At 51.9% G+C, this 14,807-nt stretch overlaps 1 protein-coding gene across 15 annotated transcripts in view, besides 3 other annotated features; it reads left to right on the top strand.

Moving 5' to 3' along the window:
• MPP2 (MAGUK p55 scaffold protein 2) overlaps positions 1-14,807 on the top strand; it is a 34,352-nt gene extending 19,545 nt beyond the window's left edge. For 11 of the 15 annotated variants that reach the window (NM_001278371.2, NM_001278370.2, NM_001278373.2 and 8 more), the window contains 10 exons: positions 6,812-6,964; positions 7,115-7,264; positions 7,656-7,883; positions 8,578-8,709; positions 8,818-8,923; positions 9,009-9,077; positions 9,315-9,476; positions 10,183-10,385; positions 10,764-10,892; positions 12,184-14,807. In NM_001278371.2, coding sequence (NP_001265300.1) covers positions 6,812-6,964; positions 7,115-7,264; positions 7,656-7,883; positions 8,578-8,709; positions 8,818-8,923; positions 9,009-9,077; positions 9,315-9,476; positions 10,183-10,385; positions 10,764-10,892; positions 12,184-12,360 — 1,509 coding nt within the window. In that variant the 3' untranslated portion in view covers positions 12,361-14,807. Of the gene's footprint in view, positions 1-6,011; positions 6,084-6,811; positions 6,965-7,114; positions 7,265-7,655; positions 7,884-8,577; positions 8,710-8,817; positions 8,924-9,008; positions 9,078-9,282; positions 9,477-10,182; positions 10,386-10,763; positions 10,893-12,183 lie in introns of those variants that run through there. The other 4 variants (NM_001278372.2, XM_011524827.3, XM_047436095.1 and 1 more) reach the window with 3 other exon arrangements.
• Positions 7,419-7,918: an enhancer, noted in NCBI's record as "H3K4me1 hESC enhancer chr17:41959617-41960116 (GRCh37/hg19 assembly coordinates)". NCBI's record gives its function as "activates a minimal SCP1, AML or CMV promoter by ChIP-STARR-seq in naive H9 embryonic stem cells {active_cell/tissue: H9 hESC(naive)}" and the evidence as "EXISTENCE:reporter gene assay evidence [ECO:0000049][PMID:30033119]".
• Positions 7,919-8,420: an enhancer, noted in NCBI's record as "H3K4me1 hESC enhancer chr17:41959115-41959616 (GRCh37/hg19 assembly coordinates)". NCBI's record gives its function as "activates a minimal SCP1, AML or CMV promoter by ChIP-STARR-seq in naive H9 embryonic stem cells {active_cell/tissue: H9 hESC(naive)}" and the evidence as "EXISTENCE:reporter gene assay evidence [ECO:0000049][PMID:30033119]".
• Positions 11,292-11,586: an enhancer, noted in NCBI's record as "tiled region #5434; K562 Activating DNase matched - State 12:CtcfO". NCBI's record gives its function as "activates a minimal TATA promoter and a strong SV40 promoter by Sharpr-MPRA in K562 cells {active_cell/tissue: K562}" and the evidence as "EXISTENCE:reporter gene assay evidence [ECO:0000049][PMID:27701403]".

Raw genomic sequence — 14,807 nt, 5'->3', positions numbered from 1 at the left:
CCCCAGGGATGGATAAAATCATGATTCCCCCCTTTTTTTATGTCATAGAAAATACGGCCGGGTGCGGTGGCTCACGCCTGTAATCCCAGCACTTTGGGAGGCCGAGGTGGGTGGATCACCAGTTCAGGAGATCGAGACCATCCTGGCTAACATGGTGAAACCCCGTCTCTACTAAAATTACAAAAAATTAGCCAGGCGTGGTGGTGCATGCCTGTAGTCCCAGCTACTCGGGAGGCTGAGGCAGGAGAATGGTGTGAACCCGGGAGACGGAGGTTGCAGTGAGCCGAGATTGCGCCACTGCACTCCAGCCTGGGCAACAGAGTGAGACTCTGTCTCAAAAAAAAAAAAACAAAAAAAAAAACGCATTTGGACAGACACAATTCCCTTTTTATTAACTATATTCATTTCAGAATTTCAGAAGTATGTAGAATACATACAGACACATTACAACTCTTTAACTGGGAAGCCAGGGAATGACAAACACACTAAATCAAGATGGTGCTTTCAGCTGGGCATGGTGGCTCATGCCTGTAATCCCAGCACTTTGGGAGGCTGAGCCGGGCGGATCACCTGAGGTCTGGAGTTCAAGGCCAGCCTCACCAACATGGAGAAACCCCGTCTCTACTAAAAATACAAAATTAGCCGGGTGTGTTGGTGCATGCTGTAATCCCAGCTACTCGAGAGGCTAAGGCAGGAGAATCACTTGAACCCGGGAGGTGTAGGTTGCAGTGAGCCGAGATTGTGCCATTGCACTCCAGGCTGGGCGATAGAGCGAGACTCTGTCTCAAAAAAAAAAAAAAAAAAAAGATGGTGATTTCTGCAAGTGGGAAGGGTGAGTGGGGCATGTGGTTAGATGTAGGATATTGACAAGAGCTTTGTTTTTTAGTTTGGGTGGTGGGTTCTCTTAGATCCTTGTTATATCATTTAAAAAATCTAATTTAGGCCAGGTGTGGTGGCTCACGCCTGTAATTCCAGCACTTTGGGAGGCCGAGGCAGGCAGATCACCTGAGCTCAGGAGTTTGTGACTAGCCTGGGCAACATGGTGAAACCTCATCTCAACTGAAATATAAAAAATTAGCCAGGGGTGGTGGCGCGTGCCTGTAGTCCCAGCTGTTCGGGAGGTTGAAGCACAAGAATTTTTGAGCCCAGGAAGTGGAGGTTGCAGTGAGCCAAGATTGTGCCACTGCACTCCAATTTGGACTACAGAGTGAGACTCCGTCTAAAAAAAAAAAAAATTATTTGTTCAGCCTACTGAATTGTTGGTTTTGTATTTGAATGATTAAATGTTTAAAGTTTCCTCTGGGCTATGAGGTTGAGCTTGGAGAGCTGTGCTTTCATATCTGTGGGTATAAAACGTCCAGGGGTGGCCACAGGAGGAGGAATGGATTAGCCCATGGTGGGAATGTCATTAAGTCAAAGATAGGAGGTAAGCAGCTTAGGAGGCACCCTGGCTTCCCCCTTGATCACACACGTCTCCTCGGAAAACTTGTCCTCCATCCGTGGACCAGATAGTGCTAAAGTCAAAATGAGTGACTTCTCTAATGCTCACATCAGGACACCTGTGCCAGAGCTGGCTCCTGTTAACCCAAAAGAGCCATGCAAGGGTTGCCATGGTGAGATTGTTGCTGCCTGAGTGCCATTGTTTATTCTTGACACTCAGTTATTTGGGCTTTGATTCCAACATTGTCCTAGGCACAGGGTAACAGAGCCAGAGCTGGGACGCCTCCCTCACTCTGGGGCTCCATAGGCTGGGCCAAGCTAAATGACTGAAAGTCACATAGGGGTCTGTGGAAGACCAGCCCTCTGGGGCTTGTTCCTTTCCCCAAATGCTACTCCTCTGCCCCATCAGTTGTCTGTTTCCCCAGTAGGTTGTGGATGTCAGTCTAAAATGCTGCCCACCCGGCAGAGGATGGTATGGGAGGCTGTGGGGCCATGTGGGGTGCTGTTCCCTGGCCTGTTTGGGAAAAGAGAAGGCAGAAAGCATCTAACCTTTATTGAGCACCTGCTGTCTGCCAGGCACTATGTCCATCTCACCAAATCCTCACAGCAGTCTTATGAAGTATTACTCAAATCTCACCATCTCATGGCTAAACAAATTTTCTATTATGAAAAAATTTAAGAATATATCCTGAACCTCCATCACCTAGCACCCCACTTCAACATTCAACAAGTCATGCATAATCTTGTTTCATCCACACCTTTACCAGCTTCCCTCTCTCCTCCATTGTTTTGGAGTACATCTCAGCCATAATAGATTGTATCTGCAAGTGTTTCATTGTGTATATAAACTCCTGGGCTCAACTGAAAAGGATTCTTTAAAGCTACACTACTATTGTCACACCTAAAAAAAAAATCAAACAATAGTTTTCTTTTGAATTTTTTTAATTAAAAAAATTTTAAAAAATAGAGATGGGGTCTTGCTGTCTTGAACTCCTGGGCTCAAGTGATCCTCCTGCCTTGGCCTCCCAAAGTGCTGGGATTACAGGTGTGAGCCATTGTGCCCTGCCATGAATTTTTAATAAATGGTATTGGAACATCTGGATAGTCATTTTGAAAGATATCAAAGTGTATTTATTCCTCACATCATATATCAGAATAAACTCCAAGCGGATCAGAGATCTCTATGTGAAAATATAAATCATACACGTCCTAGAAGAAAACAAGGCTCTGTATATGGGAAAAGCCCTCCCTTAAAAAAAAAACAAAAAAACAAAAAACTATGCCTCAAAATTCAGATGCATGAAAGATTATTAAATTCACCCACATTAAAAAATTTGTTTTTTGAGCCAGGGTCTTGCTCTGTCACTCAGGCTGGAGTGCAGTAGTGCAAACAGTGCTCACTGCAGCCTCAATCTCCTGGGTTCAAGTGATCCTTCCACCTCAGCCTCCCAAGTAAGAGTAGCAGGGACATCAGGTGCATGCCACCATGCATTAAAATGAGGATTAAAAATGCTCAGGTGAATTTTTAAAATATTTTGTAGCAACAGGGGCTTCCCATCTTACCCAGGCTGGTCTTGAGCTCCTGGGCTCAAGCAGTCCTTCCTCCTTGACCTCCCAAAGTGTTGGGATTGCAGGTGTGAACCACTGCACCTGACCTAAATTTTTTTTTTTTTTTTGCATGCAAAAACACCACAAGCAGAGTCAAAAGACAAGTGACAAACTGGGGGAAATCATTTACAAGAAATATCACAAAGGGCTAATTTTCCCAATAGAGAGAAAACATTTTTTAAAATAGGGAAAAGAATAAAAACCAAGACCTGACAGAAAAATTGGGAAAGACATGAGTAGACAGTTCACAGAAAAAGATATACAGATGGTCCTTAATCATATGGAGAGATGTTTGACTTTACTCATAATAAGCAAAATGCAAAGTAAGCCCCAATGAGAGATCATTTCTCCTCCATGTGATTGGCAGACATGCAAATGTTTGATCAACACTCTGGTGGTGAGCTTCAAGAAAATCCCTCATACAGTGCTAGCAGGAGAGCAAACTGGCCAAAGTCCCATGGAGGGGAATTTGTCAATATCTAAGAAAATTACGTATGTATTTGCTGCTTGACCCAGCAAGACTTCTAGGAATTTACATGGAAGATCTTCTCCACAGATATAGAATACTATGCCGGAGTCATTTACTGCAACATTATTTGCAATAGCAAAGTATTAGAAACAACCTAAATACCCATGGAGACTGGTTGAATAAATTACAGGAATCCAGTCATGCAATGGAGTCAAATGCAGTAATTAAAATAATAAGATGGGCATGGTGGTTCATGCCTGTAATCCCAACCTGGGAGGCAGAGGTTGCAGTGAGCTGAGATCGCGCCACTGCACTCCATCCTGGGTGACAGAGCAAGACTCTGTCTCAAACAAACTAACAATAATAATTAATAAAGGAAGATCTCCATGCAGTTTCATGGAGTGATTTCTATGACATATTTTTAAATAAAAAGCCAGAAAACCAAACCAGTTAAATAAAAGCCCTAGGGTATCAAAGGGTATATACAGTGTTCTGTGTTTTATGTAAGAAAGGGCAATATATTTATTTAATTTTTTTTTTTGGAAACAGAGTCTTGCTCTGTTGCCCAGGCTGGAGGGCAGTGGCGCGATCTCAGCTCCTTGCAACCTCTGCCTCCCGGGTCCAAGTGATTCTCATGACTCAGCCTCCTGAGTAGCTGGGATTACAGGCATGTGCCACATGCCCGGCTAATTTTGTATTTTTGGTAGAGATGGTGTTTCACCATGTTGGTCAGGCTCGTCTCAAACTCCTGACCTCAGGTGATCCTCCTGCCTTGGCTTCCCAAAGTGCGGGATTACAGGCATGAGCCACTGCGCCTGGCCTTTAGTGGTGATTTCTGAGATTTTGATGCACCCATCACCCAAGCAGTATACACTGTACCCAGTGTGTAGTCTTTTATCCCTTACGCCCCTACTACCCTTCCCGGCTGATTTTTACTAATAGATTTGTGATAGGTAGTAGCAGTTGTATAGCAATTTTGAAACTGCTTTGAATATTGAAGGACAGAACAAATAAGTAAATATACTGATGTTATTGGGAAATAAGTTCTCACTGAAGGAGAAGGGAGACACAAATATGGAATGGGGGAAGATGAGAAAAATCCTTTAATTTTATTTGGAGCCATTAGTATCTACTAATGACTGCCAAAGAAATGATGCCCAGAAACAATGGGTATTGAGTGTCCACATCTTGGTTTCTAAATACTATCTCCTGCTAAAAGGAATCAGGGTTCCTTGGAGAAATTGCTGATTCCAGACCTGGGGTAGGGAATGCATCAGATGAGCCTGTGCCAGAAGGGAAGAAGATGCTCAAGGACTGATGGGAACATGTCAACAGGACAGAGGTGTGAATGGGGCTCCCACTGGACAAATTTGGGATAAACTGGGTCAACGAAGATAGTGATCGTAATGGATTAGAACACATGGAATAAAAAAAATTCATAGTGATATCATGAGAGAGAGAAGGAGAGAAAGAGGAGTAAGGTGGTAGGGAGAAAAGAAGAGCTCATTCTTTTTTTTTTTTTTTTTTGAGCTGGAGTTTTGCTCTTGTTGCCCAGGCTGGAGTGCAATGGCATGATCTCGGCTCATTGCAACCTCCACCTCCCAGGTTCAAGCGGTTCTCCTGCCTCAGCCTCCTGAGTAGCTGGGATTACAGGCGCCCACCACTATGCTAGGCTAATTTTTTATATCTGTAGTAGAAACGGGGTTTCACCATGTTGGCCAGGCTGTTTTGCAAACTCCTGACCTCAGGTAATCCACCTGCCTTGGCCTCCCAAAGTGCAGGGATTACAGGCGTGAGCCACTGTGCCTGGCTGAAAAGCTCATTCTTATAGCAGAATGCCAATAATGTAGAAGGAATGATGGGAATTAGGTAATCACTATTTTGCAACCTCCAGTATAATAACTCATTTAGGCAAGGGTCATAAATTGACACTAAATCCATTGGTGAAGGATTTTGGGGGAACAGAATAGTCACATAGTCTCAAAGTATGGGAAAGACACAAAGACACAAGATCACCTACGTAGAACTCTTGTCAAAAGGATTAACGTAAGTCTAATCATGAGGAAACAATCAACTAAATCTAGTGGTAGAGCATCCTAAAAACTACTGGCCTGGAGTCTAAAAATGTCTAGGCTGGGTGCAGTGGCTCATGCCTGTAATCTCAGGCTTTGGGAGCCTGAAGCAGGAGGATCACTTGAAGCCAAGAGTTTGAGACTAGCCTAGGCAACGTAGTGAGACCCTGTCCCTACAAAACAAAAACAGAAACAAAAAAAACAAAACAACAAATGTTCTGAAAGTCTAAAAGTTATTGGGATCTGTTCTAGATTAGAGGAGAATAAAAAGATATGTCAACCAACTACAACATATGATCATCAATTAGATCCTGAATCAGAAAAAATAAAATTATAAAGGATACTTTTGGGACAAGAGTGAACATTTGAATGTGGACTGTCTTACATAATGTATTAATGAATCGATGTTAAATTTCTTGCAGGTGATAATGGTATTGTGGTTTATGCAGCAGAATGTCTTTGTTCCTATGAAATACATGCTGAAATACTTTGGGGTAAAGTGGCTTGTGTTGTCTGCAATGATCTTTCAAAGATTCAGAGGGGAAAAATGGTCTTCATATATATTATTGAAATGGAATTCTTTTCTTCCTGACCCATCTAACCTAACACTCCCCACTGGGCTGGTCACTGGCGAAGGATTCCTTTTCTGTTTTCAGCGCTCCTTGGTATGGAGCCCGGAGCCAGCAGAGCAACAAATAGGTGCAGGGCCTGCTCCTGGCACCGTGTTCTGATTTCCTGTCCCCTCATTCGCTGGGAACACTGAGTTGAGGGCCTGGAGACGCAAGTTCAAGTCCCATTGACCCTGGGAAAGTTATTCTACCTCCCTAATTTCCTCATCCTGGGCTTCAGGGTCTTCAAGGCCCCACCCAACCATGATGTCTGGTGGAAGAAGCCATCTTTGAACGCCAATGCATATAGGGTCCTGGGAGCTGGGGACAATTTGGTAACTTCTAATGACCCTCTGTGGCAAGGGGATGGAAAGGAAGGTTTGTCCTTTGGTTTCTTCCTTCCCTAAACTAGGTCCTAGTAATTTTGGGGAAGAAAGGAGACAGCAAGGAATGCATGTGCACGTGTGGGTATGATTGTCAGTGAGTGAGGAGCTGAAGCTGGGGGCTGGGGGGTGGGATGGGGAAAATGCCTGGGGGCTGAGGGAGGACCCTGCTTGGTGTCCCAGGGCTCCTGGGGAAGCTCCTAGCCCCACCTGTTCTGCTTCCACCCCCAGGCCCATGAGAGGCTGGAGGAGACGAAGCTGGAGGCCGTGAGAGACAACAACCTGGAGCTGGTGCAGGAGATCCTGCGGGACCTGGCGCAGCTGGCTGAGCAGAGCAGCACAGCCGCCGAGCTGGCCCACATCCTCCAGGAGCCCCACTTCCAGGTTCCTGGCTGCTAGGGCTGGGGTGAGGGAGCAGGAGGTGGGTGGACTGGGGCATGCTGCTGTTGGATGGGCCAGCAGGAAGTTGGATCTGGGATGGGAAGAGACCCGGGACACTGCCCCATTGTCCCTTCTCTTCCCACCACCCCCCAGTCCCTCCTGGAGACGCACGACTCTGTGGCCTCAAAGACCTATGAGACACCACCCCCCAGCCCTGGCCTGGACCCTACATTCAGCAACCAGCCTGTACCTCCCGATGCTGTGCGCATGGTGGGCATCCGCAAGACAGCCGGAGAACATCTGGTGAGGACTGGGCAGGGCCAGAGGTGGTGCTGGTGAGGGTGGGGGGATTGAGAATAACCAATGAACGGACAAAAAAGGCCAAGTGTGGTCTGAAGATGAAGATGGGGCCAGCTTTGTGCAGGGAAGGATTGATGCAGCAAAGGGTCGGGGGAAGACCCAGGAGACCATAGACACTGCACACACACCTGTGTCCGCACCTCTCCAGTCTGCCCACCTCTCCCCTCATTAGTACCTGCTGTAAGTGAAGAATTTAGGCAGAAGGATGGAGGAGGACTTTGTGAGGGTGGGGGTGGGTGGGTAGGGACAGGAATGGAGGAGCTATTAGGAGACTATTTGAAGATTCTGACTTGGAGCAATTGGGGCCTCATCTTACACTCCCTCTGACCTCCAGGGTGTAACGTTCCGCGTGGAGGGCGGCGAGCTGGTGATCGCGCGCATTCTGCATGGGGGCATGGTGGCTCAACAAGGCCTGCTGCATGTGGGTGACATCATCAAGGAGGTGAACGGGCAGCCAGTGGGCAGTGACCCCCGCGCACTGCAGGAGCTCCTGCGCAATGCCAGTGGCAGTGTCATCCTCAAGATCCTGCCCAGCTACCAGGAGCCCCATCTGCCCCGCCAGGTGGGCCCCTCACCCAGCACAAGGCCCAAGGGATGGCTGAGCCTCCTGGCTGTCAAGGTTGCAGGTCTCACGGAGGCCCTCCTCTCCTACTGGTTTCCTCCAGGGAAGATGGGGGTGGGACCTGCAGCCCAGGGGCAGCTGACCGCAGCCGCCGACAGGCCTCTGCCGCTGCTGCACCTGCACATGCTCCCACATTGGCTGGTATTATGCACGCAGCCACAGCCTGGGGTACAAGTGTATGAGAGAGCGCCTGCATTATGGTCAGCGTTCTTCACGTTTGTGCGCGTGCGCAGGGTGGGGTTGTCATATGTCCTGGATAGCTGTCTCCTGGTTGGTCAATTCTGGGGGTGTGGCTGCTCTGTCTCCCTATCCTATTGGGTCTCTCGCCCTCCACCAGAGCCCTTCTCCAAGGGGAGAGGGTGAGTGGAGGGAGGGATCCAGGATTAGGTGCCAGGGTCCTGTGCCCTACTTGGTGGTCCCGCATCCTTGGTCCTGAGATCTGAATCCTGTAGTACTAGATGCAAAGGGAGGTTGGCACCAGGGAGGAGCATGGGCAGGCCTGGAGGCATCACTCCTGCAGGGGGACAGTTCCATTGCCCCTTAGTCTCTGTGAAAAGAGGGGGCATGGGGTAGACCTCCACCTGCAGCCTTCTGCTGACCCTTCCCCCGACCCTTTGCTGATTCCTGGGCCCAGGTATTTGTGAAATGTCACTTTGACTATGACCCGGCCCGAGACAGCCTCATCCCCTGCAAGGAAGCAGGCCTGCGCTTCAACGCCGGGGACTTGCTCCAGATCGTAAACCAGGATGATGCCAACTGGTGGCAGGTGAGCTGCGGGCACCCCCGCATCTCTCCAGGTATGGTGCATGGGAGGGCGAGGGCACAGGGAGGGGTCCTCTTGCTCAGGCAGATCTTGGTCTCATGTCCGTTTTAGGCATGCCATGTCGAAGGGGGCAGTGCTGGGCTCATTCCCAGCCAGCTGCTGGAGGAGAAGCGGAAAGCATTTGTCAAGAGGGACCTGGAGCTGACACCAAACTCAGGTAGGAGGTCCCCCCTACCCCACACCTCCAATCTGGGATCCAACAGGGCCCTGTCTGCCTCACTCACCCATCTCCCTATGGCCAGGGACCCTATGCGGCAGCCTTTCAGGAAAGAAAAAGAAGCGAATGATGTATTTGACCACCAAGAATGCAGGTGGGTATCAGAGCGCCCCCTCCCTTACCCTCCTCTAACATGGCATGCCTTTCCCTGTCCCCACCCATCACCTGTGACGACGTGTGCCTGGCTCAGATGCTGCCAGCCGTGTCCCTAGGCCCTGCCCGACTCCCCCCTGCTCCCCTGTTCCAAGCCCTCTTGCCCTCAGCCTCCCTGAGAGCTCCGCCCCTCCCTCACCGTGCAGCCTGGTGAGCAGCGCCATCTCCCTGTGTCCAGAGTTTGACCGTCATGAGCTGCTCATTTATGAGGAGGTGGCCCGCATGCCCCCGTTCCGCCGGAAAACCCTGGTACTGATTGGGGCTCAGGGCGTGGGACGGCGCAGCCTGAAGAACAAGCTCATCATGTGGGATCCAGATCGCTATGGCACCACGGTGCCCTGTGAGTGGGAGCTGGGCCCTGCTGAGTTGGGGACAAGGAGCAGGGCTCCCCTGGGGCCAGGGCTGGGCCCACCGAATGGGCATCTTCATGGGCACCAGGCCAGGTGGTACCTTTGGGTACACGGGTTGGGGTGCACGCCCTCTGTGGGTGGTTAGGGGAACTTCAGGCTCAGGAAGGGTGAGGGAGGTGTCCAGCCAACAGGTGGCCTAGCGGGCTGGGCTGGCGTCCACTTTCCTTCTCTTGTTTCACTTGCTAAAAGCCATGAAGAAAGTGAGTGCCCAGCTGTGCACCCGGGTGAAACAGGCTACGAGCTGCATGTGTGTAGCCTTGTGGAAGACAGGGCTTCTTAGTGGCAGAAACAGCGGGGGTGGTGGAAGCTCCTGGCTGCCAGAGGCAGGACTAAGAGCACTGCCCTGGTCTGCTTGGCTCTTGCTGTGTGGCTTTGGGCTGTACATTGCCCTTTCTGGACCTCAGCCTCTCTTCTGTGGGCTCTGGGCTGGACCATGATTACCAGCTCATGTCTCTGTGTGTGCCAATGGGGAGAGTGGGGGGCAGGTGTGTGCAAAGGCAGCAGTGCTGGCAAGATGGGGAGCAGACTGCACCTCCAAGGCTGGGAAACGGGGGCCTGGGTAGGGGTGCATATATGTGTCTGAGGCACTGTAACCTGCCCCTGCCCATTTGGTCCAACCTACCCCCATCCCCCTAGACACCTCCCGGCGGCCGAAAGACTCAGAGCGGGAAGGTCAGGGTTACAGCTTTGTGTCCCGTGGGGAGATGGAGGCTGACGTCCGTGCTGGGCGCTACCTGGAGCATGGCGAATACGAGGGCAACCTGTATGGCACACGTATTGACTCCATCCGGGGCGTGGTCGCTGCTGGGAAGGTGTGCGTGCTGGATGTCAACCCCCAGGTACCGCCACTCTGCTCCTTCCCAGCCTGCCCAATGTCCTCTCTGCTGCCTCATTGCTCCCCCATATAGTTCCAGACACCTGTCACCTGAACACGCCCATGTACCCCCTTTGCCCTCAACTACTGCTAGAAACCCAGCCCACCTGGAACCTTTCTCAGCCTTCCAGAGTCCCCACTCCTCCTCTAGTCTCCTCCAGTCACCCCAGCCACCTGCCAGCTGTTTGTCATTTGTCCCAGGACTCATGTCCCAGACCCCCGGGCACCCTTTTCTCATCCACTCCCAAGTGCTCACCCCAACCCCAGTTACCCTCACAGCCTTTCTCTGGTTCCTAGGACAGACATGGGGATATACTCCCTACCTTGCCTTCTCCTTCTGCAGGCGGTGAAGGTGCTACGAACGGCCGAGTTTGTCCCTTACGTGGTGTTCATCGAGGCCCCAGACTTCGAGACCCTGCGGGCCATGAACAGGGCTGCGCTGGAGAGTGGAATATCCACCAAGCAGCTCACGGTGAGGGCTCTGAGGTGTGGGGGAGGGGTCTGATAGCTGCCTAGGGTGGTGGGGGACAGGCCTGAGCTGACAGAGAGAAGGAGGTGGTGTTGGGGAGGGACAGGGGCCTGCTCCAGTTATCAGTGAGGCAGGACGTGGTCCCCCCTGCATAGATGTGGAAGGGGAGGTCTGAGAGAGGAAGTCCAAAGTCTCAGAGTGAGCCAGGCACACACCTAGCCTGGGATACATGTGCTTCTGACTCAAGGCCCCCGGCTCAGCCCACTCTGCAGAGACAGAGTGCTGGCCAGAGAGAGTTCCCGAGGGCAACTGGGAGAGGTGGGCTGGAGGTGGGCCAGGTGAGCTTGGGTTGCTTACAGCTGGGGGAAAGCTGAAGGGTAGGAGAAAGCCAGAGGCGGGAAGGCTGGCTGGAGGGCTGAGTCAGCGTCAGGGAGCAGGCAGCGCCTGGAGGAGAGGCTTCAAGGCCTCATTGCAGAACTCCAGCCCCATCCTCCTTCCTATGTCTTGCTGCGCCTTCCCAGGAGGTGGAGGGTTTGCGGCGCTCTGAGCGCAGGGGTCCCTCTGCTGGCCATGCCTGGTGCTGCAGCATTCCGGCCCCAGGTCAGAGCGTGCCTGGGGCCCAGGAGAGGCTGTCTAGGCTGGCACCCTTCTGCCAATGACCCCCTTAAGGAGCTCTGGACCTTTGCCTGATCCCCATTCTGGGCACCTCCTCCTTGGCAACAGGTGTGGCCAACTGGAGCTGTTGGGATGCAGCTAGCTTCAGCTTATTTAAGTCAGTTGTCAAGTACCCTTCCTCACCCCTGCCCATCCAGCTTCCACTGGGTCGAGGGTGGGGTTGCCCTGGGTACTTGTGGATTGCCCTGGTACCAGCCTGTCTAGCTGCATAGGTAAGGCAGCCTAGTCAGACTTGAGGGAGCACTGGCTTGAGAGTCAGGCAGACCCTGTTTAGCCACTGACTGGCTATGTGACCTTTTTATACCTTCATTTTCTCTGCTATAAATGGGAAAGAATTAATCCTATCTTGCAGAGCTGTAGTGAAGATTATGTGGCATGCAAAGCATTTAGGGGTGTGATTGGCAGTTATTAAAGCTTATTTCCTCCCTTTCACTCACCATCTGTGGTTGATGGTGAGCCACTTTGAGGCACGCAGAGAGGGGCCCCTGCCTCCCTAGCCAGGGAGTCCACACCAGGGTTGGGCTTTGGGGAGGGGGAGTGGGGGCAGCTGTAGCTCCTTCTGACAGTGGGGGTGAGTTGTGGGCACTGACTGTAGGGAGGTCCCCTTGTGCCTGGGCAGGAGGCGGACCTGAGACGGACAGTGGAGGAGAGCAGCCGCATCCAGCGGGGCTACGGGCACTACTTTGACCTCTGCCTGGTCAATAGCAACCTGGAGAGGACCTTCCGCGAGCTCCAGACAGCCATGGAGAAGCTACGGACAGAGCCCCAGTGGGTGCCTGTCAGCTGGGTGTACTGAGCCTGTTCACCTGGTCTTTGGCTCACTCTGTGTTGAAACCCAGAACCTGAATCCATCCCCCTCCTGACCTGTGACCCCCTGCCACAATCCTTAGCCCCCATATCTGGCTGTCCTTGGGTAACAGCTCCCAGCAGGCCCTAAGTCTGGCTTCAGCACAGAGGCGTGCACTGCCAGGGAGGTGGGCATTCATGGGGTACCTTGTGCCCAGGTGCTGCCCACTCCTGATGCCCATTGGTCACCAGATATCTCTGAGGGCCAAGCTATGCCCAGGAATGTGTCAGAGTCACCTCCATAATGGTCAGTACAGAGAAGAGAAAAGCTGCTTTGGGACCACATGGTCAGTAGGCACACTGCCCCCTGCCACCCCTCCCCAGTCACCAGTTCTCCTCTGGACTGGCCACACCCACCCCATTCCTGGACTCCTCCCACCTCTCACCCCTGTGTCGGAGGAACAGGCCTTGGGCTGTTTCCGTGTGACCAGGGGAATGTGTGGCCCGCTGGCAGCCAGGCAGGCCCGGGTGGTGGTGCCAGCCTGGTGCCATCTTGAAGGCTGGAGGAGTCAGAGTGAGAGCTAGTGGCCACAGCTGCAGAGCACTGCAGCTCCCAGCTCCTTTGGAAAGGGACAGGGTCGCAGGGCAGATGCTGCTCGGTCCTTCCCTCATCCACAGCTTCTCACTGCCGAAGTTTCTCCAGATTTCTCCAATGTGTCCTGACAGGTCAGCCCTGCTCCCCACAGGGCCAGGCTGGCAGGGGCCAGTGGGCTCAGCCCAGGTAGGGGCAGGATGGAGGGCTGAGCCCTGTGACAACCTGCTGTTACCAACTGAAGAGCCCCAAGCTCTCCATGGCCCACAGCAGGCACAGGTCTGAGCTCTATGTCCTTGACCTTGGTCCATTTGGTTTTCTGTCTAGCCAGGTCCAGGTAGCCCACTTGCATCAGGGCTGCTGGGTTGGAGGGGCTAAGGAGGAGTGCAGAGGGGACCTTGGGAGCCTGGGCTTGAAGGACAGTTGCCCTCCAGGAGGTTCCTCACACACAACTCCAGAGGCGCCATTTACACTGTAGTCTGTACAACCTGTGGTTCCACGTGCATGTTCGGCACCTGTCTGTGCCTCTGGCACCAGGTTGTGTGTATGTGTGTGCGTGTGCACGTGCGTGTGTGTGTGTGTGTGTCAGGTTTAATTTGGGGAGGAAGCAAAGGGTTTTGTTTTGGAGGTCACTCTTTGGGGCCCCTTTCTGGGGGTTCCCCATCAGCCCTCATTTCTTATAATACCCTGATCCCAGACTCCAAAGCCCTGGTCCTTTCCTGATGTCTCCTCCCTTGTCTTATTGTCCCCCTACCCTAAATGCCCCCCTGCCATAACTTGGGGAGGGCAGTTTTGTAAAATAGGAGACTCCCTTTAAGAAAGAATGCTGTCCTAGATGTACTTGGGCATCTCATCCTTCATTATTCTCTGCATTCCTTCCGGGGGGAGCCTGTCCTCAGAGGGGACAACCTGTGACACCCTGAGTCCAAACCCTTGTGCCTCCCAGTTCTTCCAAGTGTCTAACTAGTCTTCGCTGCAGCGTCAGCCAAAGCTGGCCCCTGAACCACTGTGTGCCCATTTCCTAGGGAAGGGGAAGGAGAATAAACAGAATATTTATTACAAATGTTAGAATATATTTCTTATACTAGGAATCTCATTTGCATTTGCATAGACTATACACATGGGGTGGAAAGGCCAGGCCTGCCCCCATCTCGTTGGTGTGGCTCTGCGTATACTACACACTCATTCTCCTGCTCCTCTTTTCCCTTAGTCAGTGTCCTTTCATCCTGATTCAGCTCTGCCTTGCATCACCCTCAGCCTAAGGGAGTGGGAAGGAAATGGGGTGTTTTCTTGCTGACCTGAGGCTATAGGGTCACTTGCCATTTCCTACCTTCTCTGGGGGATTTGAGGGTAGAGGCAGGGGAAGATCTGTTGTTGCAGCTGCTTCTGCCCCCTTGATCCAAATGACCATCATCTCTGATGGAGATGGGTTGGGTACCTGGCCTTCATGGCACCTTCACTGCTAGGGATGCTCAAGGGGCAGGCCTGGGGCCCTTCCCTCCTGTCTCTTCTCGGTCTTTCCTCTCTGAGCAGCCTCCTACCTCCCCTGCCTGAGCCCTCACTCCACAGCCCTCCCAGGTACCTAGCAGAGGCTGTCAGTCCTTGGCTCACCTGGAACAGGGCTGGGGCTGGGTTGGAACAGGTGTGTGCCCCCACCACAGCTCTATGACTCTGTTCTCCCTCCCTGCCATTGTGGACTCTTGTATTTGAGGGACCTCAAGAGAGTGAGGACCCTACCATCCACTGTCCATATTCAGTCCCAGCCCCAGTGCGCTTCCTCTGTTCCCTCCCTCAGCCATCCAATTCTTGAGTTTTCTCACTGATTGGTTTTCTTTCTTTTTCCTTGGATTAAATGTGAAAGCAAA

Source organism: Homo sapiens, chromosome 17 (genome assembly GCF_000001405.40).
Source record: "Homo sapiens chromosome 17, GRCh38.p14 Primary Assembly".
Lineage (NCBI taxonomy): Eukaryota > Metazoa > Chordata > Mammalia > Primates > Hominidae > Homo > Homo sapiens.
The sequence above is the reverse complement of the archived record's forward strand: the minus strand, read 5'-3'. Positions and strand labels throughout refer to the sequence as shown.